Source organism: Homo sapiens, chromosome 8, assembly GCF_000001405.40.
Source record: "Homo sapiens chromosome 8, GRCh38.p14 Primary Assembly".
NCBI lineage: Eukaryota > Metazoa > Chordata > Mammalia > Primates > Hominidae > Homo > Homo sapiens.
In genome coordinates, this window is record NC_000008.11 from 22,342,745 (window position 1) to 22,358,077 (window position 15,333).

Genomic DNA, 15,333 nt, shown 5'->3' on the forward strand with positions numbered 1-15,333 from the left:
AAAATTGATAAATTTTTCATCGAAAATTCATCGAATTTAAAAACTTCTGGGAAACACTGATAAGAGGATGAAACAACAAGCCATGATTAGGAAGAAATATTTGCAAAACACGTATCTGATAAAGGACTGTTATAAAGTATACAAAGAACTCTTAAAACTCAACAGTAAGAAAATGAACAACCCAATTAGAAAATGAGCAAAATACCTCAACAGACATCTCACCAAAGAGTATAGGTAGATAAGGCCGGGTGTGGTGGCTCACATCTGTAATCCCAGCACTCTGGGAGGCCAAAGCGGGCAGATCATGAGGCCAGGAGTTTGAGACCAGCCTGACCAATGTGGTGAAACCCCGTCTCTACTAAAAATACAAAACTTAGGCCAGGCGCAGTGGCTCACACCTGTAATCCCAGCACTTTGGGAGGGGCCGAGGTGGGCTGATCACCTGAGGTAGGGAGTTCAAGACCAACCTGACCAACATGGAGAAACCCCGTCTCTACTAAAAATACAAAATTAGCCGGGTGTGGTGGCGCATGACTGTAATCCTGTAATCCTGGTGGCGCATGCCTGTAATCGCAGCTACTCGGGAAGGCTGAGGCAGGAGAATCATTTGAACTTGGGAGGCAGAGGCTGCAGTGAGCCGAGATTGTGCCATTGCACTCCAGCCTGGGCAGCAAGAGCGAAACTCCATCTCAAAAAAAAAAAAATTAGCTGGGCATGGTGGCGCATGCCTGTAATCCTAGCTACTCAGGAGGCTGAGGCAGGAGAACTGCTTGAACCAAGGAGGCAGAGGTTGCAGTGAGCTGAGATTGTACCACTGCACTTCAGCCTGGGTGACAGAGCGAGACTCCGTCTCAAAAATAGGTAGATAGATAGATGGCAAATTAGCATACAAGCAGGTGTTCAATATCACTTGCCCTTAGGGAACTGCAAATTAAAACAATCAGATACCACTACACACCTATAAATGATCAGAATTCAAAAACTGGTAATGCCAAATGCTGGTGAGGGTGTAGAGCCATAGGAACGCTCACTCACGGCTGGTGAGAATGGAAATGGTACAACCACTTTGCAAAACAGTTTGGCAGCTAATTACTAAACTAAATGTGCACTTACATACACATACCAACAATCACGCTCCTTGATATTTTCCCAAATAAGTTGAAAACTTACGCCCACACAAAAACTTGCACGTGAATGTTTGTAGCAACTTTATTCATTACTGCCAGAACTTGGAAACAGAGATGTCCTTCAGTAGGTGAGTGGATAAACTGTCATGCATCCAGACAATGGAATATTGTGTTAAAAGAAATAAGCCATTAAGCCATGAAAAGACATGGAGGAATCTTAAATACATATTGCTCAGTGAAAGATGGTAATCTGAAAAGGCTTTATATGATTCTAACTGTATGATAAATGGCATTCTAGAGAATGCATAAATGTGGTGACAGTAAAAAGTGGCTGTCAAGGGTTTGGAAGGGGGAGAAAGGAATAGGTGGCACACAGGATTTTTAGGGCACTGAAACTAGATAACATTATGCATTTGTCAAAACCCATAGAACTGTACAACACAAATATGTAAACTGTGGAGTATAGTTAATGTATCAACATTTGGTCATCAGTTGTAACAAGTGTACCATAATGCAATATGATAACAAAAGGGGAAACTGTTTATGGGTGGGGATAGGAGGTGGGAGGAGGGCATATGGGAACTCTGTTCTATTGCCTCAGGTTTTTTTGTAAACTTGAAGATTCCTCTAAAAAATAGTCTCTTAATTTAAAAACATACAGACACACAATGAGGTACCATATCGTATGCACGAGGATATCTAAAATTTAAAAGAGGCCAGGTATGATGGCTCATGCCTGTAATCCCAGCTCTTTGTGAGGTCAAGGTGGGAGGATTGCTTGAGCCCAGGAGTTTGAGACTGCCTGGGCCACATAGGGAGACCCCTATCTCTACAAAAATAAAAAATGAAAATAAATTATCTGGTCATGATGGTACACATCTGTGGTCCCAGCTACTCAAGAGGCTGAAGTGGGAAGATGACTTGAGCCTGGGAGGTCAAGGCTGCAGTGAGCCGTGATTGTGCCGCTGCACTCCAGCCTTGGTGACAGAGTAAGACCCTTTTAAAGAAAAGATTAAAATAAAATTTAAAAGACAAGTAATAAAAGTCTTGTCCAGGACATGGAGAAATTGGAAACTTCATAGATTGCTAATGGGATTGTAAAATAAAATAATGCAGCTACTTTGGAAAACAGTTGGGCAGTTCCTTAAAAAGTTAAGCATGCCGGGCTTAGAGGTGCAAGCCTGTGGTCCCAGCTACTCTTAAAGATAAGGTGGAAGAGTCACTTGAACCCGGGAGTTTAAGGCTATAGTGTGTGAGGATCACACCTGTGAATAGCCACAATACTCCAGCCAGGGCAACATAGACTCCATATGTAAAATAAAATAAAAATCAAAGTTAAACAGATTTACCACATGACCCAAGAATTCTAGTCCTAGGTATGTACCCAAGAAAATTGAAAACATTGTGTACCCAAGAAAATTGAAAACACAAGTCCACACAAAAACTTATACACAAATGTTCGTAGCAACATTATTCATAATGGCCAGAAATTGAAATAATACAAATGGGCCAGGCGCAGTGGCTCACACCTATAATCCCAGCACTTTGGGAGGCTGAGGCGGGCGGATCACTTGAGGCCAGGGATTTGAGACCAGCCTGGGCAACATGGCGAAACCGCATCTCTAGTAAAAATACAAAAACAATTAGCTGGGCATGGTGGTGTGCACCTGTAATCCCAGCTACTAGGGAGGCTGAGGCAGGAGAATTGCTTGAACCCAGGAGGCAGAGGTGGCAGTGAGCTGAGATTGCACCACTGCACTCCAGCCTGGGTGACAGAGCAAGACTCTGTCTCAAAAATATAATGAAATAATTTTAAAAACCCACAAATGTCCACAAATTGATGAATGGACAAACAAAATGTGACATATGCATATAATGGAATACTATTCTGCAATAAGGAACGAAGGACTGAGACGTACTGCAACATGGATGAACTGTGAAAACGTTATGTTTAGTGAAATTTATTTAAACATAAAAAAGTTTATGATTTTATTTGTCTAGTATAGTCCAACCCATGGAGACAAAGCGCATTAGTAGGTTCTAGGAGTCAAAGGAAGGAGGCACTGGGGGACTGACTGCCAATGGGTATGGGATTAAAATCTTTTGGGGTGATCAATATGTTCTAAAATTAGATAGTGGTGATGGTTTCAAAATTCTGAAAGTAATAAAAAACCATTTAATTGTATAGTTTAAGTGGGTGAGTTTGGCCAGGCGTGCTGGCTCACATCTGTAATCCCAGAGCTTTGGGAGGCCAAAGTGGGAGTATTGCTTGAGGCCAGGAGTTCAAGGCTGCAGTGAGCTTTGATCACACCACTGCACTCAGGCCTGGGCAACGCAGTGAGACCTTGTCTCTAAAAATAATAATAGTAAAGTAAATAAAAGGATGAGTTTTATGGTATTTCGAACTATATTTCAATAAAGCTGTTCAAAATAAAAAGCACTCCTCCACCTCACAGCTTTTTAGTTCCCGTGGTGGAATCAGCAGCCCTGCCAGGGAAGAATGCCTTCGCATGCTTGGCTGATTCCCCTGGGCCCCATCCTTCCTCCTCTGATGCTGGGATGCATCTAAGGCCTTCGCAAACTACATGTTTTCATATTTTGCCCAGCTTTTCCAGTTGTCCTGAGTTGTAGGGCTTCTCAGAATTCATGGTTCACCACCTGAAGCCTCCCAGACAGTCTTAAGCTCACATGTGATTTATTTAATATCTGTATTTAGATTTGTAGCTCTAGTTCAGGAGTTCTCAAAATTTTTGATATTAGGGCCCCTTTATATTCTTAAATATTATTGAAGGCCCCAAAGAGTTTTTATTTATATGGATACATATCTGTCAATAATTAGCATATTAGAAGGTAAAAATTTCAATGTTTATTAATTTACTTAGAAATAACAATAAGCCAGGCATAGTGGTGCATGCCTGTAGGCGCAGCTACTCAGGAGGCTGAGGTGGCAGGATCTTCTGAGTTCAGGTGTTTGAGACCAGCTTGGGCAACATAGCAAGATCCATCTCTAAGGAAAATTTTTAGTTGGGCATAGCCGCTCGTGGCTGTAATCCCAACACTGGGAGGACGAGGTAGGAGGAGCACTTGAGCCCAGGAGTTCAAGACCAGCCTGGACAACATAGACCTCATATGTATAAAAAAATTTTTAAGTTAGCTGGGTATGGTAGTATATGCCTGTAGTCTCAGCTACTCAGGAGGCTGAGGTAAGAGGATTGCTTGAGTTCAGGAAGTTCAGACTGCATGAGCCATCATCACACCATTTTACTCCAGCCTGGGCAACAGAGCAAGACGTTGTCTCAAAAAAAAAAAAAAAAAAGTAGCAAATTCAGCACATTAACATAATTTTTTTTTTTTTTTTTGAGACAGAGTCTCACTCTGTCACCCAGGCTGGACTGCAGTGGTGTGCTCTCGGCTCACTGTGCAAGCTCCCCTTCCCGGGCTCACGCCATTCTCCTGCCTCAGCCTCCCGAGTAGCTGGGACTACAGGTGCCCGCCACCACACCCAGCTAATATTTTTGTATTTTTTTAGTAGAGATGGGGCTTCACCATGTTAGCCAGGATGGTCTCAATCTCCTGACCTTGTGATCTGCTCGCCTCAGCCTCCCAAAGTGCTGGGATTACAGGCGTGAGCCACTGTGCCTGGCCTTTTTTTTTTTTTTTTTTTTTTTTATTTGAGACGGAGTCCTGCTCTGTTGCCTAGGCTGGAGTGCAGTGGCATGACCTTGCCTCACTGCAGCCTCCGCCTCTCGGGTTCAAGCTGTTCTCCTACCTCAGCCTCCTGAGTATCCGGGATTACAGGCGCCTGCCAGCATGCCTGGCTAATTTTTGTATTTTTAGTAGAGACGGGGTTTCACTGTGTTGGCCAGGCTGGTCTCAAACTCCTGACCTCAGGTGATCCGCCCACCTCGGCCTCCCAAAGTGCTGGGATTACAGGTGTGAGCCACCACTCCTGGCAGACTCATTCTTCATGCCTTTTCCTGATACATTTCTCCCTCCAGGGAGCAAATCTCTTACACTCCTCTGTTGCCATAGCATTTATATCTTTATTATGTTATTTATAATATATTGAGGGCATTTATGCGTCTGCCTCCCCTTTTTAATTTGAGTTCCATGAGGATCTGGATAGTATTAAAATAATGTTTTAGCTGAGCACAGTGGCCCACGCCTGTAATCCCAGCACTTTTGGAGGCTGAGACAGTGAGGCACATCACTTGAGGTCAGGAGTTCGAGACAAGCCTGGGCAACATGGCGAAACCCCATCTCTACTAAAAATACAAAAATTAGCCGGGCATGATGGCGGGTGTCTGTAATCCCAGCTACTCGGGGGCCGAGGCAGGAGAATCGCTTGAACCCGGGAGGCGGAGGTTGCAGTGAGCCGAGATCACACCATTGCACTCTAGCCTGGGTGACTGAGCGAGACTCCATCTCAAAAATAATAATGTTTTAATTTTCTGAGATAAGTGCAGTGGCTCATATCTAGTGGATGTGAAGTATTTGTTCCGTGAATGAATGGAGCCACACATAAAAACATGTCAAACACTCAGCAGATATTTTTTGCCTAACTGACCCTTGCCCCTCTGCGCAGTGCTAAGGGATACTAAAATTAATAAACACAGTGTTGCTTTCGAGAACATTCATTACTTACTGTTTCAAGTATCTACTGAGTACTGAAGTGGTTTTTATAACATACATTTAGGAGTTCCAACCTGGGCAACATATTGAGACTTCGTCTCTACTATAAATAAAAAAATTAGCCGGGCTTGATGGCACATCCCTGTAGTCCCAGCTATGCTTATAGTCCCAGCTGCTCAGGAGGCTGAGGCAGGAGGATCGCTTGAGCCCAGAAGGTTGAGTGACAGAGCAAGACCCTGTCTCAAAAGAAAGAAAAACACATTTAAGAGTTATGTTTCAGCCTTGTGATTTGTCCTATATTCTGACTCATCCCTCAATCATAGTTTTATAACTTACAAAATGAAGAAAATAGACTAGATGACCTAGACAGCTTAACATTGTTGATTATTTTTAGATTTTTCAGCTCCTTGATTCCTTTCGGTTCTGTTGGAGGCCTACCTAGGGCTGAGTGTGGTGCCTTGAACTCAGTGGTTAGTTGGCAAATGTTAAAGAAGGAGGTGATGCCAGTAGTTACCAAAGTCAAATTTGATTTCTATTTTTCTTTTTTCTTTTTTTTTTTTTTTGAGATGGGATCTCACTCTGTCACCCAGGCTGGAGTGCAGAGGCACAAACTCTGCTCACTGCAACCTCTGCCCCCCGGGTTCAATGCACGCCACCAGGCCTGGCTTATTTTTTGTATTTTTAGTAGAGACGGGGTTTCACCATGTTGCCCAGGCTGGTCTCAACCTCCTGACCTCAAGTCATCCGCCTGCCTCAGCCTCCCAAAGTGCTGGGATTACGGGCGTGAGCCACACTGCACCCGGCCTTCTATTTTTCACTCCATTGATTTATTAAGTCCCTTCTTTGTGCTTCGGAATATCTGTATATCCTTGATCTAGCTCGGTCTCAACTTTTGTGTACAATATATGTGTGTGTGTATATATATATATATATATATATATAAATTTTACTTTATCCCTTTTAACAACCCTGAGAAGAAGGTGAGATGATCATTTTTCTTCACTTTTCAACTGAAGAAATTGAGTCTTGAAGGTCACAGCTAAAGGAGTAGCAGAGTCAGACTCAGTCCCAGGTCTCCTGACCCCAAATCCACTGTACTGTCTGTTTCCTTGTCTGTCAAATGAGGGTTTCTTCCAGATCTGAGGTCCTGGGTCACCTGCCTTTTAACACAGCGAGTTAGTTAGGAGTCTTTGGGAATTAACAGGAACTGGTAACTTGAGCAGAATAGAAATTGGCAGGATCGTACAGAGGCTCAGAGGATTGGTGAGAAGGTGGAGCCCCAGGCTGGTAAATGGGCATGATTCAGGCTAACTCCTGGGGTTTCAGAAGCAGGGGCCTGAAAAGGCACTGCCATTGAAGGGCCAAACTCCACTGTTTTGCATTCTCTACTCAAGATGGAAGCAAGGGAGGAGCAGTCTGTTGGTGTGGCTCGAGTCGTCTACACATCCTTTGGTTAGTGAAGTGGTTCTCAACTGGGAGCAATTTTGTCCTCCCAGTGGGTGATATATAAAGGCGTTTTTAGTCATAAGGGTGAGAGGTTGCTCCTGGCATTTACTGAATAGAGGCCACGGATGATGCTAAATGTAGATTCTGCAGTGCACAGGACAGCCCTCTAGGATGAAGAATTATCTACCCACAAATGTCAGTAGAGCTGACAGGTTGGGAAACCTTGGGTTGGGCTAGGGCACGTTGACTAATAGTCCCACCAGACTATATCTTGTTGGGGGCAGGAGGAAACTCAAGTGCTATTACTGAGAAAAGATGGAGTAGATGCTGGAAAGCCAAAAAAAATTTTTTTAAGGGTACTACAGGCCAGGTATGGTATCTCACACCTGTGATCTCAGCACTTTGGGAGGCCAAGGCAGGCAGATCACTGAGTCCAGGAGTTCGAGACTAGCCCAGGCAACATGGTGAAACCTCCATCTCTACAAAAAATACAAAAGTTAGCTAGGCATGGTGACACAAACTTGTAGTCCCAGCTACTCAGGAGGCTGAGTCAGGAGGGATGGCTTGAGCCTGGGAGGTGGAGGTTGCAGTGAGCAGAGATGGTGCCACTGTACTGCAGCCTCGGCAAGAGCATGAGACCCCATCTCAAAAAAATAAATAAAAAGTACCACAAACTGGTGCAATCTGAGACTGTGAAGATGAATTACATACTTGTAAATGTAGTGCTTGAGGCTTCTTAGGAAAAGGGGTCATTAATATTTGAAATTCTGGGCCAGAAGTGGTGGCTCATTCCTGTAACCTCAGCACTTTGGGAGGCTGAGGGAGGAGGATTACTTGAGGCTGAGAGTTTGACCAGCCTGGGCAACATAGTGAGACCCTGTCTCTAAAAAATGTTTTTAAATAAAATTAGGCTGGGCGCAGTGGCTAACGCTTGTAGTCCCAGTACTTTGGGAGGCCAAGGTAGGCGGATGACCTGAGGTCAGGAGTTTGAGACCAGCCTGCCCTACGTGGCAAAACCCCATCTCTACTAAGAATACAAAAATTAGCCAGGCATGGTGGTGCACACCTGTAGTCCCAGCTAGTCCCAGCTACTTGAGAGGCTGAGGACCAAGAATTGCATGAGCCTGGGTGGCAGAGATTTCAGTAAGTCAAGATTGCATCACTGCACTTCAGCCTGGGCAACAGAGCGAGACTCTGTTTCAAAAAAAAATAATTAATTAATTAACTGGCGTAGTGACAAGCACCTGTAGTTCCAGCTACTTGACAGGCTGAGGCAGGAGGATCTCTTGAGCTTGGGAGTTTGAAGCTGCAGTGGCTATGATTACACCACTGCAGTCTAACCTGAGCAACAGAGTGAGACCTCAATTCTTAAAAAAAAAAACAAATTGAAACTCAACTTTTTAAAGGGATTCTAAGTGCTTATTTTTTTAAAGTATTCTTGGAAATCACATTTTCATGTAGAGTAACCTGTAAGGAACAGTGCATACATACATATATATATATATATATATATATATATATATATATATATATAATTTATATCTAAACCTAATTCATAATTTAGGTTTTTTTGGTGTTTTTTTTTTGTTTTTTTGTTTTTTGTTTTGAGACGGAGTCTCACTCTGTCACCCAGGCTGGAGTGCAGTGGTGCAATCTTGGCTCACTGCAACCTCCACCTCCCAGGTTCAAGCAATTCTCCTGCCTCAGCCTCCTGAATAGCTGGGACTACAGGTGTGCACCACCACACCTGGCTAATTTTTGTATTTTTAGTAGAGACGAGGGTTTCACCATGTTGGCCAGGGTGGTCTTGAACTTCTGACCTCAGGTGATCCACCCACCTCGGCCTCTGAGAGTGCTGGGATTACAGGCGTGACCCACCGTGTCCAGCCCATAATTTAGGTTTTTGAGGGTAAGTATGAACACAAACTTAGAATGAACCACACTCCACTAGAATCAAAACTGAATTAAACTAAAGCACTTTTAAAGGGAACTTCCATTTTAAGTTGAAGTGAACTTACCCTCTTGAATTTTGTTGCCCAGGCTGGAGTGTAGTGGCACAATCTCAGCTTGCTGCAACCTCCACCCCATGAGTTCAAGTGATTTTCCTGCCTCAGCCTCCCAGGTAGCTGGGATTAGAGGCATGTGCCACCATGCCTGTGTAATTTTTGTATCTTTAGTAGAAACAGGGTTTCAGCATGTTGGCCAGGCTGGTCTTGAACTCCTGACCTCAGGTGATCCACCCGCCTTGGCCTCCCAACATGCTGGGATGACAGGCGTGAGCCACCGTGCCTGGCCCTTCTTGAATTATTGAAGTTGAACACAACTAGAACACAATTATATTCCCTAAATGGGGGAAAAATTATTCTTCAAATTGCTTCAAGCAAGCATTTAATTTAATTTGGACCCATAGACAATTCACATAGCTAGCTGTTTGCTAATTACTTAGTTACAGTAAAAATGTTTTACTGTATGTTTACTGTATGTTTTACACCATACCAGACTGTAGGGTAATATTTAGTAAAGGGACGTTTCACTTGTCAGCAACTTGGGATATTTCCAGTAGGTAAAAATCTGATGGCAGCGGATCTGTGGCATATGTGGTCATATGTTAGAATTTCTCTAACACTTTACCTTATTCTTTGCCCCGACAGTTATTAGTGTTAAATCCAAGTAGAAGGAAAATTGATTCAGCCTGCAGTTTTCCCAGCATTCCTTTGAACTTTGTTTGCATTGTTTGTGGATAAGCCGTATGCATGTGACTCATAACTTGCATGTTTTGCTTTCATGTTTTATAACACCTTTGCTGCACCAGGCGTGTTTTACTACCCCAAGGAAGTCTAGAAATGATTAGAAGCTTTTTTTCCCTGCCCTCTAGGCACAGTAGCTTTGGCACTAACTGCAAAAGGATCTGCCATGATTCCAGGCTACACAATGCGAGTGGGCCTCTCACTGACTGTGGTCCGTAGCCTGAGGGCTCTGTGAGTCACCACATCCTCGCTGTCATTTCAGGTGAACCACTGTCTACCAGAGAAGATTGTGGTGTACCGTGATGGAGTGTCTGATGGCCAACTGAAGACAGTTGCCAACTATGAGATTCCTCAACTACAGAAGTGTTTTGAAGCTTTTGAGAATTATCAGCCCAAGATGGTGGTGTTTGTAGTTCAGAAGAAAATCAGTACTAATCTATATCTGGCTGCTCCTCAGAACTTTGTAACTCCCACTCCTGGAACTGTGGTAGATCATACAATAACAAGCTGTGAGTGGTAAGTGAGCAAAATATGTAGTATTGGAGGAAGAATAAGTTGGAGATGTTGTCACTTTCCTGAGTATTGGAATGGGGAGGTTTCCTGGAGAGTTGTGGACTAGAATCTCAGAGAGGCTACCGTTAAAAGAATGAAGGTTTAAAAAATATTTAAGGGCCTGGCATGGTGGCTCACGTCTGTAATCCCAACGCTTTGGGAGGCTGAGGCAGTTAGATCACCTGAGGTCAGGAGTTCAATACCAGCCTGGCCAACATGGTGAAACCCTGTCTACTGTAAATAACAGAAATTAACCAGGTGTGATGGTGTGTGCCTGTAATGCCAGCTACTCGGGAGGCTGAGACAGGAGAATCGCTTGAACCTAGGAGGCGGAGGTTGCAGTAAGTCCACTGTAATCCAGCCTGGGCAACAGAGAGAGACTCTGTCTCAAAACGAAACAAAAAAGATTTAAAAACAAGAAAGCTTTTACCTCTTAAGTGAAAAGTTGAACATACCTTGTTTTGCTAAGATAGCGTATGCTTAACTTCTACAGGAAGATAAGGGAGTTTCTACCACTTTTTTTTTTTTTTTTTTTTTTTTTTTTGAGGCAGGGTCTCGCTTTGTTGTCCAGGGTGGAGTGCAATGATGTGATCTCAGCTCACTGCAGCCTCAACCTGCTTAGGCCCAGGTGATCCTCCCACCTCAGCCTCCTGAGTAGCTGGGACAATAGGCGTATGCCACCATGCCCAACTAATTTTTGTATTTTTTGTAGAGACAGGGTCTTGCCATGTTGCCCAGACTGGTCTCGATCTCCTGGGCTCAAGCAATCTGCCTGCCTCAGCCTTCCAAAGTGCTAGGATTACAGGCATGAGTCACTGCACCCAGCCTGTTACCACCATTCTTCAGTAGCCTCTTGAGTCAGGAGACCTGGGTTCTAATCCTGGTCTGGCCTCTGTGTCCTTGATCCAGTCATTTGAGCTCTCTGAGCTTTAGTTGAAGGAGCTAGAACGATCTCCAGGATCTTTGCCAGCTCTGTCTGGCTGAATCCGACCATTTCACTGATTTATGGTTTTCCTTCCTAGGGTGGATTTCTATCTTCTTGCCCATCATGTACGGCAGGGCTGTGGCATTCCTACGCATTATGTCTGTGTTCTCAACACCGCAAACCTGAGCCCTGATCATATGCAGAGGTGGGCCCATCAGTAACTTACTCTTTCTCTTTCTTAAATAATTCTGGCCTGCTAGCTAAGATGGGCTCACTGTTCACCCCAAAATATATTTACCTCTTGACTTTTCTTCATATCTTTGACAATTATGGTGTCTTTTTGAGGAGAGATTGGAAATCCTGGTTTTATATTAAAATTACTTTTACTTAAAGAGCTTTAAAAAATATTGATGCCAGGCTTCCCCCCAACTATTCTGAGGCATCTGTATTTTTTAAATCTGTTCCAGGCGATTATGACATACAGCCAGACTTGAGACCCAGTGCCGTTGAGTTCAGATTATATAAATACTCCACTAGGGTACTTACCTTTCTCCAGCCTTTTCTTGTAAACAAGAAATATTTTCTCTTTGTGTTGTTTTCGTATAAAAACAGGAGGCTGGGTGCGGTGGCTCACGCCTATAATCCCAGCACTTTGGGAGGCTGAGGCAGGCGGATCACCTGAGGCCAGGAGTTCGAGACCAGCCTGACCAACATGGCAAAACCCTGTCTCTACTAAAAATAGAAAAATTAGCTGGGTGTGGTGGCGCATGCCTATAATCCCAGCTACTCGGGAGGCTGAGTTGGGAGAATCACTTGAATCCAGGAGGAGGAGGTTGCAGTGAGCAGAGATTGTGCCATTGCACTCCAGCCTGGGCAACAGAGCAAGACTCTGTCAAAAAAAAAAAACAAAACAAAAAACAACAACAACAAAAAAAAAACAGGGAAATGCCTCAATTGAGAAGATTTACCCATGTCGTCTGACTTATGAATAGTGGGAATAAAAACAAGTCCATTTAAAAATAGTGATTCTAAAAAGCTGCATCATGTATTCCTCTGCTCCCCAGTTTTCAGGAAGGTGTGCTCTGTGTCATATCCCCGTGACTATTGTATTGTATTGCATGCCACAAATTGAAGGTGGGGGATGATGAGAATTATATTTTCTTCTTGGCCTACAGGCTGACTTTCAAACTGTGCCACATGTACTGGAATTGGCCTGGCACCATCAGAGTTCCAGCTCCTTGCAAGTATGCCCACAAGCTAGCTTTCCTGTCAGGACACATCTTGCATCATGAACCAGCCATCCAGCTGTGCGAGAACCTGTTCTTCCTGTGACTGCACAGCTTGGAGATGGGCTGGTGAGAAGAAAGGCGGCCTCAGAACTCAGCTGTGACTCTTGCAGAATCAACAGAGACTGAAGTGGGCTTTTGTGTTATAATTTTCCCTTTCTCCAACCCTGTAGAATAAGATTTCTTTCTTGTCTTTTAAACCTAATATCACCAAGAAGCAAGTTTCTGAGTAACAGCTGAAAATGGCCTTGTTGCCTGTGTAGAGCAAGTTACGGTGGTACTGCCACTCTGCAGGTGGAGCGGGTGACTCTGGGGGACCATTAAGACCTCCAGACCGGGTGCGGTGGTTCACACCTGTAATCCAAGCACTTTGGGAGGCCGAGGCGGGTGGATCATGAGGTCAGGAGATCAAGACCATCCTGGCCAACATGGTGAAACCCCGTCTCTACTAAAATACAAAAAAATTAGCCGGGTGTGGCGGTGCACGCCTGTAGTCCCAGCTACTCAGGAGGCTAAGGCAGGAGAATCGCTTGAACCCGGGAGGTGGAGGTTGCAGTGAGCCGAGATCACGCCACTGCACTCCAGCCTGTTGACAAAGCAAGACTCTGTCTCAAAAAAAAAAAAAAAAAGCCAACATGAGCTGCAGAAACCAGCAGAAGCAGCCATTATACTTCTAAGCTGTGCCAACTAAGTGGTTCCCATTTCTGGAGCCAGAGATGATAATTAAGTCATTGCAAGTTGCCTGAAGAGAATTACTCAGGCAACTGGGAAAGGCAGTGGAAGGTCTGTGAAGCAAAGTTTTCAAGTAGATATTGCTATTACTGGCAGGTGTGCAAGGCGTGTAGTAAAATCAGTTTGTGGCATAGGTCGGCCCTTGCTGACTAAATCCTCTCTGGGGATTGAATTGATGACGACTGTGACTTGAGTTGGATTCGAAAATGGCTTCCCTTGGCCTCTTGAAAGAGTGCAGATGAAGCCTTTTCCGTGGATTTCAGTAACTTTCCAGCATACCATGACGATTTCTTCCCCAAATATACACATGCTCTTTTGCTCTTTGTGCCTGATCTTCAGTAATTTTTAGTTTTTTAACAGGCAGAAAAAATCTAGCAGCTAGGAAAGTTCAAGTTGGGGTGGGAGTTTTTAGTGAACTTTTCTCCCAGGTGTGTGGCCTTTATTTCTATTTATATATGTTTGTAAATGGAATTACCCCCTTTCTCTTGCAAAATAACCGCTTCCTGGCTGTTGGCTCACTTTGCTGGAATTTTTCTGAATCCAGGTTAAGATTTCCAGAAGTCAGCTTTGGAAAACGTGACACTCCTACCAAAGTCCAGATGGTTAGAAAGTTATCACATACCATGGGTTTCAGTGTTTTTGGAAACCCGTTTTTTTCTGGTTTTTTTTCCCCCCTCTCCATTTTAGAATCTTCTCCCAGTCCCTTCGGGCCTAGTTCTGTCTCATCTTGCTTTATTGGGTTTTAAAAACCGGTCTTATTTAAGCTTTTCTAATTTGTATTTATGTACTTATTTATTTTTTGGTATGATGGCAGGGAGGGGACAAAGCAGAAATACCCCTTTTATATGACAATGTGTGAGAAAAGAAACTTTAGCTTAAAACTCCGTAAAATGTGCTCACTTCAGCAGCACATATACTAAAATTAAAATGATATAGAGAAGATTAGCATATAGAAAAAAAGAAAAAAGATTTCCTTAAAACAAGAAAACCAAGAATGTTTTTGGTTTGTTGCGGTGCCCAGCCGAGGTTGAGGAGGGATGGGTATTGTTGGTGCACTGCTGGTTTCATTTGGAGTGTGGGACATTAGGGTGAGACAAGGACCTGGAATTTAAAAACCACAGAATCAAACACTGTGAACCACTGGTCTCTGGCTAAGCAGATCAGTTTTCTGATTTTCCTTGGAAGCGTTTTGAATTTTTCTGTTGAAGTTGGATTTCCTAATACTTTTTTTCTCTTAGATAATCAGAACAAATGGTTGAATACATTATAATACAAAAATTTCTTCACTTTTTATTCTTGGTTTTCTTGCCTCGTTTTTCGGTTTTAATGCCAAATGATTGGGTCATGGGGTGGGAAATAAAAACAACTTTGTATAAATTTGTAGTTGTGTTTGAAATAATGTTGTTTATTTATTATTATATTGATGTAACTCTTTTTCTTCAGAGAGCTGCAGCACTTCCTAGAAACACTCATTACTCTGCTTGTAAGTTGCAACTCCAGTGTTAGTAGCCAGGTAATTTCATCATCAGCTGGGTAAGAAGACTTATTGAAAAAAACAGTAGCCACCTCACTTCTCAGACAGATGAGGCACTTTGTGTGTGTGTGTGTGTGTGTGTGTGTGTGTGTGTGTGTGTGTCTGTGTGTGGTTTTTAGCTCTCTTTCTCCCATCAGACAATTTCTTTTACCCTAAGTGAGAGCCAGAGTGTGTCCACTTGCAAGGGCAGCCTCCCCACCGCTCCACTATTTTAACGCTTGCCCTTTTTTACATATACCTCACGGGGTGTCTGTCACCATTGAAATACCTTCCCTGGGTACAAAAATCCCATTAGAAGGAATAAGATCTAGTAGTTCAGTGGCACAGTAGAGCAACTATAGTTAACAAAAAT

The 15,333-nt window shown here is 43.5% G+C and overlaps 1 protein-coding gene across 4 annotated transcripts in view; it reads left to right on the forward strand.

The window, feature by feature from the left end:
• Positions 1-14,824, forward strand: part of PIWIL2 (piwi like RNA-mediated gene silencing 2) — an 82,253-nt gene extending 67,429 nt beyond the window's left edge. For 2 of the 4 annotated variants that reach the window (NM_018068.5, NM_001135721.3), the window contains exons 21-23: positions 10,215-10,468; positions 11,527-11,634; positions 12,605-14,824. In NM_018068.5, coding sequence (NP_060538.2) covers positions 10,215-10,468; positions 11,527-11,634; positions 12,605-12,761 — 519 coding nt within the window. In that variant the 3' untranslated portion in view covers positions 12,762-14,824. The remainder of the gene's footprint in view (positions 1-10,214; positions 10,469-11,526; positions 11,635-12,604) is intronic. The other 2 variants (NM_001330480.2, XM_047421924.1) reach the window with 1 other exon arrangement.
• Positions 14,825-15,333: the final 509 nt, after the last annotated feature.